This window comes from Homo sapiens, chromosome 1 (genome assembly GCF_000001405.40).
Source record: "Homo sapiens chromosome 1, GRCh38.p14 Primary Assembly".
Classification (NCBI taxonomy): Eukaryota; Metazoa; Chordata; class Mammalia; order Primates; family Hominidae; genus Homo; species Homo sapiens.
Genome location: NC_000001.11, coordinates 52,938,356 through 52,960,542, shown reverse-complemented (window position 1 = coordinate 52,960,542; position 22,187 = coordinate 52,938,356). Strand labels below are relative to the sequence as shown.

Sequence of the window (22,187 nt, the reverse complement as noted above, 5' to 3'; positions counted from 1 at the left end):
CATACATATATATACACACATATACACACACACACACACACACACACACACACACACACACATATACATAGTAGCCAGGCATGGTGGGTCATGCCTGTAATCCCAACACTTTGGCAGGCCCAGGTGGAAGGCCCACCTGAGCCCAGGAGTTCGAGACCAGCATGGGCAACATAGCAAGATTCCGTCTCTGCAAAAAATTAGCTGGGCGTGGCTAATTTAAAATAAAGAATAAATTAAACCCAAAGTAAGGAGAAGAAAGGAAACATCAAGAATGAGAGCAGATTGAAATAGAAAATGAGCAGAATGAAAAAGAATGAGTAGAAGTGAGTAGAATAAACTAGAAAAAAGAATATAGGCCAGGCGCCATGGCTCATACCTGTAATCCCAGCAATTTGGGAGGCCAGGCGGGCGGATCACGAGGTCAGGAGTTTGAGGCCAGCCTGGCCAACGTGGTGAAACCCCGTCGCTACTAAAAATAAAAAAATTAGCTGGGCGTGGTGGCAGGCGCCTGTAATCCCAGCTACTCAGGAGGCTGAAGCAGGAGAATTGCTTGAACCCGGGAGGCAGAGGTTGCAGTGAGCTGAGATCATGCCATTGCACTCCAGCCTGGGCGGCAGAGTGAGACTCTGTCTCAAAAAAAAAAAAAAAATTGAAAATCAGTAAAAACAAAAGCTGGTCGTTTTATTGTAAACTTTCTTTTTCCATGATCACCCTGACAAAAGATGACCATGGAAAAAGAGAGAAGATAAAAATTACCAACACCAGAAGAAGGGAAGGGAAAAGACACGTCCAAAGATCCTACATTAAAAAGACGGGAATAACATGAATGACTTTTTACCAATAAGGTTAATAATTTAGATGAACTGGACAAATTCCGTGAAGGACATAAACTATCAACGCTCACTTTACAAAAAAAATAGACAACCTCAATAGTAATATATTTATATATAAACTCAGAAGATTGAAAACTTTCCCATAAAGAAATCACCAGGCCATGACCCAAAGATGAGAATGCAAAAAAAAAATATTTTTTAAATTAAAAATATTTTAGGGCTGGGCGCGGTGGCTCATGCCTGTAATCTCACTTTGGGAGGTCGAGGCGGGTGGATCACCTGAGGTCGGGAGTTCAAGACCAGCCTGACCAACATGGAGAAACCCTGTCTCTACTAAAAATACAAAATTAGCAGGGCGTGGTGGCGCATGCCCGTAATCCCAGCTACTCGGGAGGCTGAGGCAGGAGAATCGCTTGAACCTGGGAGGTGGAGGTTGCGGTGAGCCAAGACTGCACCATTGTACTCCAGCTTGGGCAACAAGAGTGAAATTCCATCTCAAAAAAAAAAAAAATTTTTTTTAAAGAAAAGAAAAGAAGTCACCAGACCAGATGTGAACTGGTGAATTCTACCAAAAATTTAAGAGAAAAAAATACCAATTTACATATAAACTACTCCAAAAAACAGAAGAGAGGAGAACACTTCTCAGCTATTCTATGAGGCCAGCATTATTCTCGTATTAAAACTAGACTGGGTGTGGTGGCTCACACCTGTAATCCCAAAACTTTGGGAAGCCAAGGTGGGCAGATCACTTGAGCCCTGAAGTTCAAGACCAACCTGCACAATGGAAAGAAAAAAACAAACCAACACCCTTGCGGACATAAACACAAAAATCCTTAACAAAATTTTAACAAATCAGGCCCGGCGCAGTGGCTCACACCTGTAATCCCAACACTTTGGGAGGCCCAGGCGGGAGGATTGCTCGAGCCCAGGAGCTTGAAACCAGCCTGGGCAACATAGGGAGAACCCGTCACTTAAAAGAAAAAAATTAACAAATCAAATCCAACAATATACAAAAAGGATAATATATCATGACCAAATACCAAACATTACCCCAGAATATGGGATAGACTAACAATCAAATATCAATCAATATAATTCATCATATTAACAAACTAAAAAAGAATAACAAACAAAATAAGAACATCTCAATAGATAGCTAAAAAGCTTGTGAAAAAATGTGGCCAGGCGCGGTGCCTCATACTTGTAATCCCAGCACTTTAGGAGGCCGAGGCAGGTGGATCGCCTGAGGTCGGGAGTTCAAGACCAGCCTGGTCAACATGGTAAAACCCCGTCTCTACTAAAAATACACAAATTAGCCCGGCATGGCGGTGGGAGCCTGTAATCCCAGTTACTTCGGAGGTTGAAGCAGGAGAATCGCTTGAAACAGGGAGGCAGAGGTTGCAGTGAGCCAAGATTGTGCCACCGCACTCCACTCCAGCCTGGGTAACAGAGACTCCATCTCAAAAAAAAAAAAAAACTTGTGAAAAAATTCAACAGAAGGACTGACACTACTCAATTTTAAGAGTTACCTAAAGCTACAGTAATTAAGACAGTGTGGTATTGACAAAAAAAAATTCAGACAAATTAGACAAATAGATAAATGGCACAGAATAAAGAGTTCACACATAGACCTACATAAATATATGACAAAGAAGCAAAGGCAATATAATGGAAAAAAGATAATCTTTTCAACAAATGGTGCTAGGACAACTGGACATCCACATGAAAATAATGAATCCAGGCACAGACCTTACACCCTTCACAAAAATTAACAATGACAAAGAAGCAAAGGCAATATAATGGAAAAAAGATAATCTTTTCAACAAATGGTGCAGGGACAACTGGACATCCACATGAAAATAATGAATCCAGGCACAGACCTTACACCCTTCACAAAAATTAACTCAAAATAGATCACAGACCTACATGTAAAACACATGTGACAGAAAACCTAGATGACCTTGGGTTTGGCATTGGCTTTTTAGATACACCACAAAAGGCACAATTCATGAGAGAAAGAATTGAAAAGCTGGACTTTGTTAAAATTAAATTTTCCTCGGTTGCCCAGGTTGGGGTGCAGTGGCACAGTCATGGCTCACTGTATATCAATATGTTCTAATCAGGAAAGGTGTTCAACTGTTAATTGAAAAAGTAACATGTAAAATATCATTAATCTTCTCTATATATTTACAAAGGTTTTTTATGTGTGGTTTTTTGTTTTGTTTTGTTTTGTTTTTTTGGCAGAGCTAGCTGAGGTTTTATTTTGGAAAAAAAAATTGAATTGTTTTGTAGCTGGAGGCATGGGCAAGGGGGGTACCCCAGGCAGTAAATTTACAAAGGTTTTTTAACATGTGTGTGTGTATATGCATATGAATGCTTAGTTACATGTGTCTGTATTAATTTGGGAAAATGGCAGGAGATATAGATACTTAATTATTAACATTGGTTACCTCTGAGGGACAAGATTAAATAGACAGAAGGGGCCAGGGGCCAGGGGCCAGGGGCCAGGGGCAGTGGCTCACGCCTGTAATCCCAGCACTTTGGGAGGCCGAGGTGGGTAGATCACGAGGTCAGAAGTTCAAGACCAGCCTGGCCAATATGGTGAAACCCCATCTCTGCTAAAAATACAAAAATTAGCCAGGCGTGGTGGCGGGCACCTGTAGTCCCAGCTACTCGGGAGGCTGAGGCAGGAGAATCGCTTGAACCCAGGAGGCGGAGGTTGCAGTGAGCCAAGATTGCACCACTGCACTCCAGCCTGGGTGACAGAGAGAGACTTGGTCTCAAAAAAAAAAAAAAAAAAAAAAAAAGGCAGAAGGAGGGACTTTTAATTTATATATATTTCTTTTTAATTGTACTATGGGATTATGGATGAATTTTACTATAATTTTTAATAATTTTCAAATAAAAGTTACCAGCATATGTACCATTCACTGCTGAAAAAAATACATATTTTTCATGTATCATAAACATTATATATTCACTTACACAACCTTATTTCTCAGTCTTCTCCAGCTGCCACTCTAATCCAGACAGTTTTTAAAACTGTTCCCTAGGTATATCATATTCATTCAAACACCCATGACTAGGCTCATGATGCTTTCCCTGACATCTAGGAAGAGCTCATTTCCCCTTACCCACTCCTAAATTATCTTTAAGATCCAACCTAACTTCTACCACTTTTTAAAGGCATTCTTTAAAGAGGGAAACAACTCATTGATTTGAATGCCTATTAAGTGCCACTTTTGTGGTTTCTAAGAAATATTATCATATATATTTAACTTAATTTGGGGTAGAGGTCCTTTAATGTTTCAACAGAGAAAATGGGATCAGGTTGATCACATAAGTTAGATAATAGTATAATCTTAGATAACAGTAAAAAATTATCTTCAACTCATTTTCTTTTTTTTGAAACGGAGTCTCACTCTGTCGCCCAGGCTGGAGTGCAATGGCGCATCTTGGCTCACCACAACCTCCACCTCCTGGGCTCAGGCGATTCTCCTGCCTCAGCCTCCCGAGTAGCTGGGATTACGGGCGCATATCACCACACCCGGCTAATTTTTTGTATTTTTAGTAGAGACGGGTTTTGCCATGTTGGCCAGGCTGGTCTCAAACTTCTGGCCTCAAGTGATCCGCCCATCTCAGCCTCTCAAAGTGCTGGGATTACAGGCATGAGTGAATTTTTAATTTTATTTATTTCATTTTTCTTTTCTATAAATTCTGTTTAGTTTTTTTTTTTCATGCCAATAATGTTCTTTTTTGTAATTTCCTATAGCCTAAAGCGGTTCCCAAGCTGTCTTTTATTTCTCTAAACATAACAAACATGGTTAAATCTGCATCCAATAAATCTAGTTTTGGCGGTCTTCAGAGATTAGTTTTTACTGCTCCTTCTTCCTTTCGGTTCTCAATTGTGGTGTCTTGTTTCTTTAATCCTTGGTTATCTTTAACTGCGTGTCCTTAAAATTTTATTTGAAGGGTTCTCAAAGCCTGGAAGAAAGGTGCTTTCCTCCAGAAGAAAATTTGTCTAGGTTACTACCATTCTGGAACTAATTTAGATTCAATTCATGGTTTGAGGTTTCCTGGACGACTTAGATAATGAGAATGTTGGCAGTGATCCCACATGAGGGCTAGTCTGTGATTTATTAACTCAATGAAAGGTTTTACTGAGTTTTTTATTCTTTCTCTTTTTTTTTCCTCCCCTGTTTTACTGGATGCCATGGTAACTCTCCCTATCATCTCATGGAAGTGGGCAGTTTTACTTCAGGTTCATCCTACCCAAAGAGTTTACCTTACGTAGTATCAATTTAATGTGGGTATTAAACTTCTGATCTTGGGAAGGCCTGAGCTTTGACTATTTCCCCTTTCATTCCAGGGGGCTGTTAAAATTGTGGCTCACAGCTGCCTGATCAGCAAAGATCTTCAAGGCAAAAGTAGCTGCAAATGCTGATGTTAATTCTCTGGCACTCATCTGCAGTTCCTCTCTCTTGCTAGTTCTTCAATACCTTTAGGATTTCTTTTTTCATATTCTATCCAAATATTTTAGTTGTTATCAGTGAGAGAACTGGCTCAAAAAACTTGGCTTGCCATTACCAGAATCAGAAGTCCCACATTTTATTAACTCTCTTCAATTTGTTGAATGAATTTCATTTATTGAATGTAATTCATTTATCAAAAAAATGAATAAATGAATGGCTTTTAAATTAAATAGATAAGTCAACTTCAAATTCCAATAATCTCATATCCTTGAACACCAGTTTCATCATTGGCAAAATAAACAGTTTGAACAAAATTATCTCTAAGATTCTTCACTATTCTAAAATACCAAGATCTATGCATACATGTAAGTATCACCTTTCAACTTTTGGGTTATATTAGCTCATTTAGTAACTATGCCAAAATAACACTCACTTTTATTCCAAGGCTTCCCTTACTCATCTTCTCAAACCCAAGAGCCAAGACACATTCTGCCACACCTTAAAGGAAAACGTAATTATTTTGAAAATTCAAATTTCCAAACACCAACAAAATACCATTAAATACTTCAATTCAAATAAGTACGTCAAGTGAGCACACAATGGCTCGAACTTATAGTCCCATCAGTTTGGGAGATCAAAGCAGATAAACTGCTTGAGGTCAGGAGGTCAAGACCAGCCAGGCAACATAGTAAGACTCTGTCTCTACAAAAATTTAAAAAATTAAAATGTTTGAAAAATTAGCTGAGTGTGGTGGTACACACCTGTAGTCCTAGTGACTTGGTAGGCTGAGGCAGGAGGTCACTTGAGCCCAGAAATTCTGTCTCTAAATAAATAAGCCAATTTAAATAAAATATAAAAACATACTATAACCCCACAAAGGTTTTTGTTGTTGTTGTTGTTGTTGTTTGTTTGCTTTTTTTTTTTGACACAAAGTTTCAGTCTGTCACCGAGATTGGAGTATAGTGGCAGGCTCACAGCTCACTGCAGCTTCAACCTCTCAGGCTCAAACGATCCTCCCACCTCAGCTCTCTATTAGTTGAATGGGGTGGCACACGAATGTGCCACCTCATTCAGCTAATTTTTTTATTTTTTGTAGAGAGAGTTTTACTATGCTGCTCAGGCTGGTCTTGAACTCCTGGGCTCAAGCGATCTGTCCACCCCGACCTCCCAAGTGCTAGGATTACAGGCATGAGCCACTATGCCCGGCACCACAAAGGTTTTGCTGGGTTTTGGTTGTTTTTTTTGTTTTTTTTTTTGAGACAGTGTCTCACTCTGTCACCCAGGCTGGAGTGCAGTAGTGCAATCATGGCTCACTGAAGCCTAGACCTCCTGGGCTCAAGCAGTCTGCATGTAGCTGGGACTGCAGGCCTGTGGCACCATGACCAGTTTTCTTGCTTTTTTTTTTTTTTTTGGTAAAGATGGAGTCTCACCATGTTGCCCAGGCTGGTCTCAAATTCCTGGGCTCAAGTGATCCACCCACCTCAGCTTCCCAAAGTGCTGGGATTACAAACATAAGCCACCAAACAAAGTTTTTAATAACAGAAAAATTATAGAGAAAATCTTTATATTCTTCTAGATAAGAGGAAAAATCGGGCCAGGTGCGGTGAATCACACCTGTAATCTCAAAGCTTTGGGAGGCCAAAGCAGATGTATCGCTTGAGACCAGGAGTTCAAGACCAGTCTGGGCAACATGGCAAGACCCCATCTCTACAAAATATACAAAAATTAGTTGGGTATGGTGGCGCACGCCTATGATCCCAATTATTAATACTTAGGAGGCTGAGGTGGGAGGATCACCTGAGGCCAAGAGGCACAGGTGGCAGGAGCTGAGATCATGCTACCACACTCTTGCCTTGGTGAGAGAGTGAGGCCCTGTTTCTAAAAAAAGAAAAGAGGAAAAATCAATAAGGTGCTTAATTCTTCTCTTGAGTCTCAATATGTTAATAAAATTTCATGTTAATGTAGAAATGTGTTTCAGTAATGAATATAAAAAGCTAATTTAGAATCACATTTAGAAAAACATTTAAAATTTGAAATTAAAAACTAAAAAATGAACCCAGTGAAAATCTCAAAAGAATTATTTTTGGAGAGAGGGGGGCCCCTAAAAATGATGTTAAAGTTCAACTGAAGAGCCAAATATTCCTGCAGAAGCTGAACTAAAAAAAAAAAAAAAAAAAGACAGAATTGCCACATTTTTTCTTAAAAAAAATAAAAGAACAGAAACAGGGACCACTAGCATTATCAAACAATATAAAGTTCCAATAATTAAAATGCTGGGTAGTGAAATAGTGATCAACAATCAAATCAGTGGAACAGAGAGAGGACCTAATAAAAAACCCTAGAATATATGGAAACATAGGATATGATACATATACAAAAGAACTGAAAATACACAGCCACAGAAAATATATATATATACACAATGTTTACAATGGCATTATCTACGCCCTCCCCGCTACCCCAAGTTTTAAAAGACAGTGTCTTGCTCTGTTGCCCAGGCTGGAGTATAGTGGCACAGTCATAGCAAACTGCAGCCTCAGTCTCCTAGGCTCAAGTGATCCTCCCGCCTCAGCCTCCCAAGAAGCTAGGATTACAGGTGCCAGACACCATGCCCATTATGGCAGCATTATTCATAACAGCCAAAAAATAGAAACAATCCCTCAACTGATGGAAACAAAAAAAATGCAAGCAACAATGTCCATCAACTGATAAACAGGTAGAAGAAATGTGGTGTAGCCATCCTAGCACTTTGAGGGGCCAAGGCAGGAAGATCGCTTAAAGCCATTAGCTCAAGATCAGCCTGGGCAACATAGCAAGACCTCATTTCTACTTATTTTATTTTTTATTTTTCTTGTACGTTTAAAATACAGTCCATCTATTTTTTTAATGTGATATATCCATACAATGGAATATTATTTGGCCATGAAAAGGAATTAAGTACTGATATATGCTACAACATGAATAAATTGTGAAAACATTGTGTTAAGTGAAATAAACCACAAAAGGCCATGTATTGTACAATTCTATTTATATAAATATTCAGAATATGAAAATCCACAAAAAGAAAGTAAATTAGTGGTTTCTAGGGACTGAGGGGAGGAGAAAATAGAGAATGAATGCTAATGGGTACAGGGTTTCTTTCTGTGGTGATAAAAATGTTCTAATATGACCAGGTGTGGTGGCTCACACCAGCACTTTGTGAAGCCAAGGTAAGCCTCACACCTCACTTTGTGAGGCCAAGGTGTAATCCCAGCACTTTGTGAGGCCAAGGTGAGCACATCACTTGAGGTCAGGAGTTTGAGACCAGCCTGGCCAACATAGTGAAACCCCGTCTCTATTAAAAATACAAAAAAATTAGCCAGGCATGGTGGTAGGTACTTGTAATCCCAGCTACTTGGGAGGCTGAGGCATGAGAATCACTTGAACCCGGGAGGTGGAGGTTGCAGTGAGCTGAGATGGCACAACGGCACTCCAGTCTGGGCAACAGAGCAAGACTCCCTCTCAAAAAAAAAAAAGTTCTAATATTACATAGTGGTGATAGGTATACAATTCTGTGAATATACAAAAAACACTGAATCGTACACTTTAAAAAGGTGAGTTTTATGGTCTATAAATTATATCTCACAATGCCTTTTTAATTTTATTTTACCTTAATTAATTTTTTTTTTTTTTTTTTTTTTTTAGAGACAGTCTCACTGTGTGGCCCAGGCTAGAGTGCAGTGGTATGATCATACATCCTCCAGCCTCAGCCTCCTGCATAGCTGGGACCACCACGCCTGGCTAATTTTTTTTAATTTTGTATAAACACAGGTTCTAACTACGTTGCCCAGGCTGGTCTTGAACTCCTGGGCTCAAGTGATGCTCTTGCCTTGGTCCCCCAGAGTGTTGAAATTACGAGTGTGAGCCACCATGCCTGGCTGATAAAGCCTTTTTTTTGTTTTTTGGGGGGCTTTTTTGAGACAAGGTCTGGCTCTATCACCCAAGCTGGAGTGCAGTGGTGCCATCTAGGCTCACTGCAATCTCTGTCTCCCAGGCTCAAGTCATCCTCCCACCTCAGCCTCCCAGATAGCTGGGACTACAGATGCACGCCACCATACCCGGCTAATTTTTGTATTTTTTGTAGAGACGGGGTTTTGTTACATTGCCCAGAGCTAGTCTCAAATTCACAAGCTCAAACAATCCACCCCCCTCGGCCTCCCAAAGTGCTAGGGTTACAAGCATAAGCCACCACACCCGGCCTGATGAAGACTTTTTTAAAACAAATACATTATAAAATAATTCCTCTGATGGTCGTGTGATTAAATGATTAAAATGGGGCAATATTTAAGTACACTAGACAAGCACTCCTTACCACCCTGAATCAGCTGGCGGGCCATAAACAAAGCAGTAGAACCAGTAGCACAGTTATTGTTGACATTGATTATAGGAATTCCAGTCATTCCCAAACTGTGATAGATAGCCCTCTGCCCACAGGTAGAGTCACCTGAATAGAAAAACAAAAATTTTAATATGGAGAATTATGGAGTTGCAATGCAACATAATACTACATTATGGGTTTTTTCAATATTATACCTTTGCCTAGCATATAACATGTGCAAGACAGTAAATATCTTAGAAACAGTTTTAACACTAACCATCATTTACTCTGCAAAAAAGACTGAAAACAGAATATATGTGCACTTTCTTTATATAATACAGAGGTAGAGAAGTAAAGAAATGATCAGTTAATAGAAAACAGTTCCATCTGGCTAAGGCTATATGATAAAGAAAGCAATATTTCATTAACACCTAAATGTCAGAAAAAAATCTTTAAACCTTGGCCAGGTGTGGTGGCTCATGCCTGTAATCCCAACACTTTGGGAGGCCGAGGCGGGCAGATCACGCGGTCAGGAGGTCGAAACCATCCTGGCTAACATGGTGAAACTCCATCTCTACTAAAAATACAAAAAATTAGCCAGGCATGGTGGCATGCACCTGTAATCCCAGCTACTTGGGAGGCTGAGGCAGAAGAATCACTTGAACCAGTAGGCAGAGGTTGCAGTGAGCCTAGATCGCACCACTGCACTCCAGCCTGGGCGACAGAGAGAGACTCGGTCTCAAATAAATAAATAAATAAATAAATAAATAAAATCTTTAAACCTATGCCAGTGATTAAAGGCCATGATTTACTTTTCATATAAAGATTCCACAACTTCAAAAAGTTTAAAAGACCCTGCATGCCAAGGCATTCCAGGAAAACATGATCCATGTTAAATACACATGTGCCTTCCTTTCCCAAGTGTAAAAAGTAAAGTAGAGGTTCCTCTTCAAAGACTTTCCTCCTCATTTAATTAGGAATAAATAGTAACTTCTCTTAGAAGCAAAATTTATTCAAAGACCTGTGCTAACATTCTTAAATATCTGCTAGCCATGGTAAAGAAATCATTACACTTTACATTCTTAGCTCCCACAATTTAGCCTAAATATTTGCCCTGGCATGCTTATACTGGCCCAAGCAAGCATTAAGTCATAGCCTGTTCCTCTTCCTTATTTGAAGGTGTTTTTACCTTTCTCAGCATTCCACAAGTTACTTCCTCCTTCCTTTGTTCTCCTCTGCCTTTGCCTCTTTTAAAAAGTTCTAAGTTGCTAGCCAATCAGGACAAATACAGAATGTGAGGTCCCGTTCCAGCCAATGGAACTGGACACAGCAGTAGGGTGGACGCATCAGGTTATAAATGACCCTGTCTCCTTTGCTCAGTGTACTCTCGTGGCAAAACTGCTGGCGAGTGTACCCTTTCTGCAGGAAGTTAAAATGGCCTTGCTGAGTAAATTAAATTTATGTTCAAGTGCTATTTCTTTATGGCACCAAGGAACAAGCATTTCAAACACAAGTAACATGACCACCAAGGTAGACATGCTGGAGCAGTGTGATGGGAATATCTGAAGGTACAGGCTCCAGGAGTCTTCAGCAAAATCAGGAAAGTTAGGGATCTGCTTTTCAATAAATATATTCTGCATCCCTTTAACCCAGTACGTTTCCCTTCTAGAATTCTCTTGATATCTTGATATCTCAAAGAAATGAATCATAGATATGCACAAATATTCATCTACAGTAACACCTACTATAGTATTTTAATAATACTGTATATATTCATAGAATTTTTATAACAACTAGAAATTAGAAAATATCATTACTACTTCTAAATAAGCTGTAGTAGATCTTCAAGAGTAGAATATCATATAATCATTTAAAATGATGTAGGGGTTCCCACACACACCTTACCCCTTTGCCAAAAACAAAAAAAAAAAAATGTTGTTGGGGTTGGGGGAAACAGAGAGATGTTAGTCAAATGGTACAAACTTTCAGTTATAAGATGAACGAGTTCTGTGGATCTAACGTACAGCATGGGTGGTAATTAATGGCTAATTAACTGGATTGTGGCAATTATTATACAATATATACATAAATCATCTTATTTTATACCTTGAATATATTCAATATTTGACAATTAAGTATTTTTTAAATTCTGTGAAAAGACTGGAACTTTTAAATATCCATTAAAAGGGGATTGATAAAATAAATTATAATACATTTATTCAATGAAACAGTATGCTTTTTTTTTTTTTTTTTTTTGAGATGGAGTCTTGCTCTGTTGCCCAGGCTGGAGTGCAGTGGCACAATCTCGGCTCACTACAACCTCTGCCTCCTGGGTTCAAGAGATTCTCCTGCCTCTCCCTCCTGAGTAGCTGGGACTACAGGCGCATTTTTTGTATTTTTAGTAGAGGAAGGGTTTCACCGTATTAGCCAGATGGTCTCGATCTCCTGACCTCGTGATCCGCCTGCCTCGGCCTCCCAAAGTGCTGGGATTATAGGCGTGAGCCACAGTGCCTGGCCATATTTTTAAAAAGGCCAAAGAAGATCTTTACAGTATAATTTGGAATAGTCACCAAAAGAAAAATTACACTAGGTTGACACACAAGGGAAATCTTTAAATAGTGGTAATTCCCTTAAATCAGACTTTGAATTCTGAGATTTTTTTCTTTTTTCTTCAATACAAATATAATTGAATGAATTCTGAGTTTTTGAGGGTTAAAATTCACAAATGCCTCCGCATTGTTTGTATAGTTGCTGCTAGATTTAGGTAAAAAAATTTTAGAATACACAGTTTAATACATACCAAAAACATAGCCAACACATGCCTGGTCCACTGCTGAATAAGGGATCTGTGCATCAGCTAAAGCCTTCTTGCCTATAAAAACGAAAGGTTTTTATCAAAAAGTGCTTTAAGTATTTGTTTTAGGAGAGTGAAAATTAAGTTTAGAGTTTTCTCAAAGTAAACTACCTCTATATAGTCTATGCTCAATTCAAATGACAAATCCTTCATCAAATCATGTCACATCTCTACTTTCAGAAGTAATCATTTTTTCCTCTAAGCTACTGCATCACTTTTCCGTATCTCCTTTTTGGTACTTAACACTTTCTGTTATAACTTCACATCTATCTACATTAAATCTGAAGAGTCTTACAGCTCCTTAATGACAAGGTCCTTGTCCCTTGTCTTATTCATCCCTGTAGCTCCACTGCACATCTAGAGGGTAAAATGAGAAAGACTGTCATTACTGGGAGCAGATAGCACTAATGTGCTCATCTTACAAAGAAAAGATCAAGAGGTGACTCTGTCTATGGAACAAGAAAGAGAGCTTAAGGATGCTATCAAAAGTGGCAGAAATAACTAGTAGAGGAACTGAGAAAAATTATGTAAGTAAATGAGAAAAATTATGTAAGTAAACTGGAAAGAGGACAGTGAGGTTGAAAAAAAAGTGTGAGCTAAATCCTCATTTATGACAGTGAGCAGCAAACAGACATCTAAAACTGACAAATCAAAAACTTGAAGTATTTAGATAATCACCAGAAGAACGAAAGCAAAACGAGTTAAAAGAAGTTGTCCATGGGGAACAGGCCTGAGAATTATAAGCCACTCTTCATTCTTTTTTTTTTTTTTTTTTTTTTTTTTTTAAGGACAACATCTCTCTCTGTCACTGGAGTGCAGTGGTGTGATCATAACTCACTGCAGTCTCAAACTCCTGGGCTTAGGCGATCCTCCCACTTTGGCTTCCCAAAGTGAGGGGATAAGAGACATGAGTCACCACACTCGGCCCTCTATTCCTGTATTTTCCGTTTTTTTTTTTTTTTTTTCGAGACAGAGTCTTGCTCTGTCGCCCAGGCTGGAGGGCAAGGGCGCGATCTCGGCTCACTGCAACCTCCACCTCCCAGGTTCAAGTGATTCTCCTGCCTCAGCCTCCCAAGTAACTGGGATTACAGGAATAATAGGCGCCTACCACCACACTACTTTTTGTGTTTTTAGTAGAGAGGGGATTTCGCCATGTTGGCCAGGCTGGTCTCAAACCCCTGACCTCAAGTGATCCACCTCCCTTGGCCTCCCAAGGTGCTGGAATTACAGGTGTGAGCCACCAAGCCTGGCTTTTTTTTTTTTTTTAAACATATAAATGTATTTGAAATTTTTTTAATTCACAAAGATACTAATTATAATAATCAATTATTATAATTTATGAAGTAATTGGTTACAGAATTGGGTTAGTCAAAAAATGAGTTATCTTTTCCTGCTTAACGTATGGACAAAAAACAAATGTCTTATAATAATGTTTATGAGACTATGTTGAGAAGAACATTCTCATATGTTGCCAATGAGACTCTACGGGTGTAAACGCTGAAAATTAATTTGGCAAGAATCTTGGTTTCACACAGTGGCTTACTGTACTTTAGGAGGCTGAAGTGGGAGGATCACTTGAGCCCAGGAGTTTTGAGACCAGCCTGGGACCCCATCTCTACAAAAAATAAAAATTAGCCAGGTGTGGTAGCATACACCTGTGGTCCCAGGTACTTGGGAAGCTGAAGAGAGAGGATCACTTGAATCCTGGAGGTCAAGGCTACAGTGAGCCATGATCTCACCACTGCACTCTAGCCTGGGCAACAGAGCCAGACCCTGTTTCAAACAAACAAAAAAAAGAGGCCAGGCATAGTGGCTCATGCCTGTAATCCTAGCACTTTGGGAGACCAAGGCAGGAGCATTCCTTGAGCCCAGGACCTCAAGACCAACCTGGGCAATATGGCAAAACCCTGTCTCTACCAAAAATACAAAAATTAGGGGGGCGTGGTGGTGTGCGTCTGTGGTCCCAGCTACTTGGGAGGCTGAGGTAGGAGGATTGCTTGAGCCCAGGAGGTCAAGGCTGCAGTGAGCCATGATCACACTACTGCATTCCAGCCTAGGCAACAGAGGGAGACCATGTCTCAATTAAAAAAAAAAAACAAAAAAACTTAAAAATGATCATATTCACTATTCCTGCAATTCCACTTCTAGGCTCTTTCCTCAAAAATAAACAGAGATTAGAACAAACATCTATTTAGCAAAATGTTCATTACAATTTTTCTAAAATATCAAAAACTTGGGAACCTAAATGTCCAACAAAAATAATGGCATATATATATATATATTATGCACAACTTAAACATTCTTTTCCAAACAATTTTTTTTTTGAGACACAGCCTCACTCTGTTGCCTAGGCTAGAGTCCAGTGGTGCTAACTCAGCTCACTGCAAGCTCCACCTCCTGGGTTCCCACCATTCTCCTGCCTCAGCCTCCTGAGTAGCTGGGACTACAGGCGCCCACCACCAATCTGGCTAACTTTTTGTATTTTTAGTAGAGATGGAGTTTTCACCGTGTTAGCCAGGATGGTCTCGAACCCTTGACCTCAGGTGATCTGCCTGCCTTAGCCTCCCAAAGTGCTGGGATTACAGGCATGAGTCACCACACCTGGCCCTTTTCCAAACAATTTTAAGTAGAAGGAGAAATGCTCATGAAAAAATAAATTTCAGAAATTAGGATACAAGCTGTGCACAGTGGCGAGTACCTGTAGTCCCAGCTACTCAGGAGGACTGCTTGAGCCCAGGAGTTTGAGGTGGAGTGTACTATGACTGGACCTGTGAATAGCCACTGCACTCCAGCCTGGGCAGCATAGTGAGATGTTGTCCTTAAAAATATCTAAATAAATAAATAAATAGGATACAAAACTACAAATGTGATCCCATATAGCCATAGGGGAAAAATGCTAAAATAGAATAACACCAAGATACTAATAGTGACTAGGTCTGGGTCAAAATTTTGTTTTCATTAGTATATAATTATTCGTTACAATAAAACACATGCATTGCTCTTATAATCAGTGGGAAAGAATGAGTTACAAAAAGGTATGTTTAGCTGGTACTCTGTACCTCCTTTAAATGCTAACAGCAGGCCAGACACGGTGGCTCACGCCTGTAATCCTAGCACTTTGGGAGGCCGAGGCGGGTGGATCACCCGAGGTCAGGAGTTCAAGACCAGCCTGGACAACAGGGTGAAACCCCATCTTTACTAAAAATACAAAAGTTAGCTTCAGGTGCTCCGCCCACCTCGGCCTCTCAACGTGTTGGGATTACAGGCGTGAGTCACCATGCCCGGCCAGATTTCTTATTACTAGTCAATCCCCAGAGTTAATTTCAAACATCATTAACTTTACCTCAGTATTACCATTTTATAATCAAAATATTATACACACACTAAAGTAATTTCAAATTTTTTAATGAAATAAAAGAAATTGGTCAAAAAATATAGAGAAAGCTGATCAAAGCATCTCCCACTTCAAAGACAGGCAGAAACTATTTGGAGGCATCAATTGAGAGGAGAACATTTAACAACGCAGAAGATAAACATTAAATGAATAATGTCTGCCCTGAGAACCACTGCAATTAATCAAATCTCTTGAACCTTCCTTTTGGAGAACAGACATGCTCTGATTCCTTGTATAACATTTAAGTATTGAGTTGAATAATCAGAGTTGATGTTGAAGGAATAGTTAGAAAGAGAAAAAAGAAAACAAAAAAAAAGTTGAAGCAAAATCTAAATATATATGCACTGGATTTCCCCATAATATTACTTATGGTAATAAGCAGGAACATCTAAGGAATAAACACAGTAACTCCTTTTGGGTTGCCTGGCAACAACGTAGCAGGAATTGAGTTGGGGAGGCTCCCTAGGAAAAGGACTGTGCCTAACAACTTATGGGATGAAAGAGAAGGTCTCCAGGTGTTGACAGCAGGTATTTCCCAGAATTCCCCTAAACAACCGGCACCTAAGCTTAGAGTACTTGCCCCCAAACCAAAACATTTATTTAGGTGTTCCAGCACTGCTGCCCCTCTCTATCACCAGCACCACCTCTAGCTGGCAGAGTTCCACCCAAAGAAGGAGGGTAAGTAAGGAGGTCTCTATACCATGGCTAGTACAAAGCTGACTGCCCGAAATGAACCACTGGTAAAGCATCCAGGAAGCAACTGGCTATAAAAGCTGCTCGCAAGAGTGTGCCCTCTACTGCAGGGGTGAAGAAACCTCATCATTACAGGCCTGGTACTGTGGCACTCGGTGAAATCAGACGTTATCAGAAGTCCACTAAACTGATTCGCAAACCTCCCTTCCAGCGTCTGGTGCAACAAATTGCTCAGGACTTAAAAACAGATTGGCACTTCCAAAGTGCAGCTATTGGTGCTTTGCAAGAAGTAAGTGAGGCCTATCTCGTTGGCCTTTTTGAAGACACCAACCTGTGCACTATCCATGCCAAATGAGTAACAACAGACATCAAGCTAGCATACTACATATGCAGAGAATGTGCTTAAGAACCCACTATGGGCGGGGTGCGGTGGCTCACGCCTGTAATCCCAGCACTTTGGGAGGCCGAGGTGGGCAGATCACGAGGTCAGGAGTTTGAGACCAGCCTGGCCAACATGGTGAAACCCCATCTCTACTAAAAATACAAAAAATTAGCTGGGCAAGGTGGGGGGTGCCTGTAGTCCCAGCTACTCAGGAGGCTGAGGCAGGAGAATAGCGTGAACCCGGGAGGCGGAGCTTGCAGTGAGCCGAGATTGCACCACTGCACTCCAGCCTGGGCGACAGAGCAAGACTCCGTCTCAAAAAAAAAAAAAAGAACCCACCATGTTGGGAACCATTTCATTCTCAAAAACAAAAATATTCTGTTCTTGTTATTGGTAGTTCTGAACATTAGATTTTTTTTCCATGGAGTCAAAGGGCACCTAAGCATATGATTGCAAGTGGAAAAATAGAGTACAGAAATCAAGTATTGGTAGTTTTTCCATTTTCATGCGTGTGTGAATTTTTAGTATAACTGCAGGGATAAAAAGAAGCCCGTTAGGCTGGGCGCAGTGGCTCACACCTGTAATCCCAGCACTCTGGGAGGCCGAGGTCGGTGGATCACCTGAGGTCAGGAGTTCGAGGCCAGCCTAGCTAACATGGTGAAACCCCGTTTCTACTAAAAATACAAAAAAATTAGCCTGGCGTGGAGGTGTGTGCCTGTAATCCCAGCTACTCGGGAGGCTGAGGCAGGAGAATCACTTGAACCTGGGAGTCCGAGGTTGCAGTGAACTGAGATCATGCCATTTGCACTCTACCTTGGGCAACAAGAGTGAAACTCCATCTCAAAAAAAAAAAAAAAAAAAAACCTGTTAAATTTTTCTGGCAATGCCAGCATTTGGATTTTTTAAAAATAATTAAATTTCTTATTGATGGCAAAAAAAAAATTCTTTATATATATCATGTAAAGAAGCTTTCATACTTGTCCCCTTTTTTTAAAAAAAGAGAGGTGGGGGAGAAGAAGAACAATGGATGGGGATCTCTCTGCTACAACTCAGACCCACAGTGCAGCCAGATGCAGCCTGGTCGTGGCACGTCTCTAAAGAATGCTGAATGCTTAGAGAACCAGGACCCATACACCTGTAGATCCTTCTCCCTGTTAGTTCCACTCACACCAATATTCACCCGTCTTTTGCTCAAAAGTACTAATACTCATTATAATAAACAGTAACAAACTGCATCACCTCCTTTAGTCATGCAGTAATCTAGTGACAGAAAAAGAATTCTCTATGTTGGCTCAGTGAAGTAAAGAAAACCACCATACAGGTATTTAATACATTTGGAATGTGATTATCCCTTTTCCAGGAAAGGAAGACACTAATTTTGTTAGAACTCCTGAAGTTAACACACACTAGAATGATGTTATCCCTTTTAATGACCCTACCTCTCTCTCCCACAGATCCCTTAACCATCTCAACACATATTTGGATAGCACATAAAATTGTAAGCCACTCTCTGCTCTGGCTATGTAGCTGCTAAGAATGCCCAAGCTCTTTTCCTTTGTAGTGAGTCACTAGACATTTCTCTGTACGGGTTCTTCTCCCTTGACTGGGCTTCCTTTTGTGCTTGCAAGGCTGCCCCATCCATGAAATCAAGACAGACCACATAATAAACTATGAATGTTCAAAGATCTAAATGTTCTATGTTACCTGCTTCTTCTGCCAAGTCAGGGTAGTCTCTTGAATTCTCAGCTCCAGGCTTCACAAACTAGAGATATAGAAAGAGATAATAAATACAAACAAGTATAGTTACATTTTTTTTTTTTTTTGAGACGGAGTCTTGCTCTGTTACCCAGGCTGGAGTGCAGTGGCATGATCTCGGCTCACTGCAACCTCTGCCTCCTGGGTTCAAGCCATTCTCCTGGCTCAGCCACCCCAGTAGCTGGGATTACAGGTGCACACCACCATGCCCAGCTAATTTTTGTATTTTTAGTAGAGACGGGGTTTCACCATGTTGGCCAGGCTGGTCTCAAACTCCTGACCTTGTGATCTGCCTGCCTCGGCCTCCCAAAGTGCTGGGATTACAGGTGTGAGCCACTGCGCCCAGCCAAGTATAGTTACATTTTTTACACAATAAAAATCTATTCATTCACTACTCATTCAAACAAAAAACACATTATTATTAGACTCTAATAATAAATAATATAAAATCCTTGCCCTCAGAGTGCTTCCAGTCTAACCTAAGACAGACAGTTACACTACAGTGTCAGAAGTACAGAATGTCTTGACAGAGACATCTACCCAGACTTGGAGGGAGGAAAAGAAAGGCTTCCCAGAGAAACTGCCATTTAAATTAAGTTCTTATGGATGAGTAGCAGTTAGCAAAGTGAAAGAGAAGGAAATTTTGGAGTAAAGATCTAGAAGTAAGAGAATACAGCAGTTTTTTCTCTGTGGAAGAACTGTAAATAATTTGGTATGACATAGGTTAAAACATAAAGTGGAAAGTGTTAAGGATGGCTGGGTGTGGTGGCTCCCGCCTGTAATCCCAGCACTTTGGGAGGCCGAGGCGGGAGGATCACTGAGGTCAAGAGTTCAAGACCAGCCTGGCCAACATGGTAGAACCCTGTCTCTACTAAAAATACAAAAATTAGCCAGGCATGGCGGTATACGCCTGTGATCCCAGCTCCTCAGGAGGCTGAGGCAGAAGAATCACTTGAACCAGGAGGCAGAGGTTGCAGTGAGCCGAGATAGTGCCACTGCACTCCAGCCTGGATGACAGAATGAGACTCTGTCTCCAAAAATAAAATAAAATAAAATAAAAGTGATATGAACATAAAAGTACCTTAGGTCCAAACAATGATAACAACTAATATTTATTGGGCGCTTACTGTGGTATGCATTGTGTTAAGCATTTCACATGTATTTACTCATTTAATCCTCACAACCATCCTAAAAGGTAGGTTCCGTGCATTACAGATAAGAAAACTAGGACACAGAGAGATAAACAACTAACCCAGGGGCATAGAGCTAATAAGTAATGGAGCTGAAAGTTTAGTCTAGGTCTGGAGCCAACTCACAAGGGACCCTTTATGCCCTGCAATGCTGGTCTGGGCTTTATCCTGAAGACAGTGTTTTTGTTTGTTTGTTTTTTGAGACAAGGTCTTGCTCTGTCACTCAGGCTGGAGTGCAGTGGTATGATCACAACTTACTGCAGCCTCAACCACCCTGACTCAAGCAATCCTCCCACCTCAGCTCCCTTTGCACCCACAGTAGCTGGGACTACAGGCACGCACCACCACGCTAAGTTAATTTTTGTATTTTTTGTAGAGATGGGGTTTTGCCATGTTGCCCAGGCTGGTCTCAAATTCCTGGGCTCAAGTGATGCTCCTGCCTCAGCTTCCAAAGTGCTGCAATTACAGGTGTGAGCCACCATGCCCAGATGACAATGTTTTTTAAAATGAGACTGGAATAAAACAACAATCAGATACCACTATTAATTAGAATGGCAAAAATCCAAAACACTGACATCAAATGCTGGCAAGGATATGGAGCAATAGGAAGTTCGGCAATTTCTTACAAAACTAAACATGTACAGGTTGGGCATGGTGGCACACATCTGTAATCCCAGCACTTTAGGAAGCCGAGGTGGGTGGATCATTTGAGGTCAGGAATTCGAGACCAGACTGGTCAACATGATGAAACCCTGTCTCTACTAAAAATACAAAAATGAGCTGGTCATGGTGGCCAGCACCTATAATCCCAGCTACTCGGGAGGCTGAGACAGGAAAACCCAGGAGGCAGAGGTTGCAGTGAGCCAAGATTGTGCCATTGCACTCCAGCCTGGGCAACAGAACAAGACTCAGTTTCAATAAATAAATAAATAAAGCAAAAATAAAGCACACACAATACACATATGAATTAGCAATAGCACTCCTTGGCATTTACCCAAAGGAGTTGAAAACTTATGTCCATATAAAAACCTACAAATGGGTGTTTTTTGTTGTTGTTTTGTTTTGTTGAGATGGAGTCTCACTCTGTTGCCCAGGCTGGAGTGCAGTGGTGTGATCACAGCTCACTGCAGCTTCAACTTCCCGGGCTCAAGCAATCCTCCCACCTCAGCCTCCTGAGTAGCTGAGATCACAGGTGCTCATAATCATGCCTGGCTAATTTTTAAGTTTTTTTGTAGAGATGGATCTCACTATGTTGCCCAGGCTGATCTCGAACTCCGGGGCTCAAGCAATCCTCCTGCCTCAGCCTCTCAAAGTGCTGGGATTACAGTCACGAGCCACTATGATGGAACCACACAGATGTTTATACTAGCTTTATTCATAACTGTCAAAACTTGGAAGCAATCAAGATGTCCTTCAGGAGGTAAAAGGATAAACTGTGGCACATCCAAACAATGGAATATTATTCAGTGCTAAAAAGAAATGAGCTATCAAGCTATGAGAAAACATGGAAGAACCTTAAATACATATCATATTAAGTGAAAGAAGACAATCTTAAAAGACTACAAACTATGATTCCAAGTAAAGGACACTCTGGAAAAGGTAAAATTTATAGAGACAGTAAAAAGATCAGTGGTTGCCAGGTGCTGGTGGGAGAGAAGGATGAATATGTGGAACACAGAGGATTTTTAAGGCAGTGAAACTATTCTGTATGATCCTATAACACTGGATACATGTCATTACACATTTTTCAAAATCCATAGAATGTACAATACCAAGAGTGAACACTAAAGTAAATTATGGTCTCTGGGTGATAATGATGTGTCAATGTATGTTCATCGATCATAACAAATGTATCACTCTGGGTGTGCCCTTGCTGATAGAGGGAGAGGCTATATATGGAGGGATAGGGGAAACACATGGGAAATCTCTGTACCTTGTACTCAATTTTGCTGTAAACCTAAAATTTCTCTTAAAAGTAGTCTATTTTTAAAAAGAGAAAGAGACTGGGATGACGAGACTTGCATTTTAGATCATCCTAGACACAATGTGAAGAAATGATGAAAGGAGCATGGCGGGAGGCAGTGAGACCAACTAGCATAATTCTGAAACAGGCCAGGTGAGGGCTAAGACAGAAGCAAAAAAGAAAGAAATAGACCTCAGAAATACAAGGGAAGTAAAATCTACTGAACTTGATGACTGATTAGGTAAGATGTAGTGCTTTGCTGGTGAGTGGTCACATTAAAGAGAAATGGCTTTG

General features: G+C 40.5%; 1 protein-coding gene and 1 pseudogene across 12 annotated transcripts in view; one reads left to right on the top strand and one right to left on the bottom strand.

The window, feature by feature from the left end:
• Nucleotides 1-22,187, bottom strand: part of SCP2 (sterol carrier protein 2) — a 124,423-nt gene that overhangs the window by 91,156 nt on the left and 11,080 nt on the right. For 7 of the 12 annotated variants that reach the window (NM_002979.5, XM_005271103.5, XM_047427504.1 and 4 more), the window contains exons 2-5: nucleotides 18,690-18,747; nucleotides 12,463-12,534; nucleotides 9,657-9,788; nucleotides 5,739-5,803 (exon numbers count right to left, since the gene is read on the bottom strand). In NM_002979.5, coding sequence (NP_002970.2) covers nucleotides 5,739-5,803; nucleotides 9,657-9,788; nucleotides 12,463-12,534; nucleotides 18,690-18,747 — 327 coding nt within the window. The remainder of the gene's footprint in view (nucleotides 1-5,738; nucleotides 5,804-9,656; nucleotides 9,789-12,462; nucleotides 12,535-18,689; nucleotides 18,748-22,187) is intronic. The other 5 variants (NM_001193600.2, XM_047427508.1, NM_001007098.3 and 2 more) reach the window with 3 other exon arrangements.
• Nucleotides 16,521-17,021, top strand: H3P2 (H3 histone pseudogene 2; annotated as a pseudogene).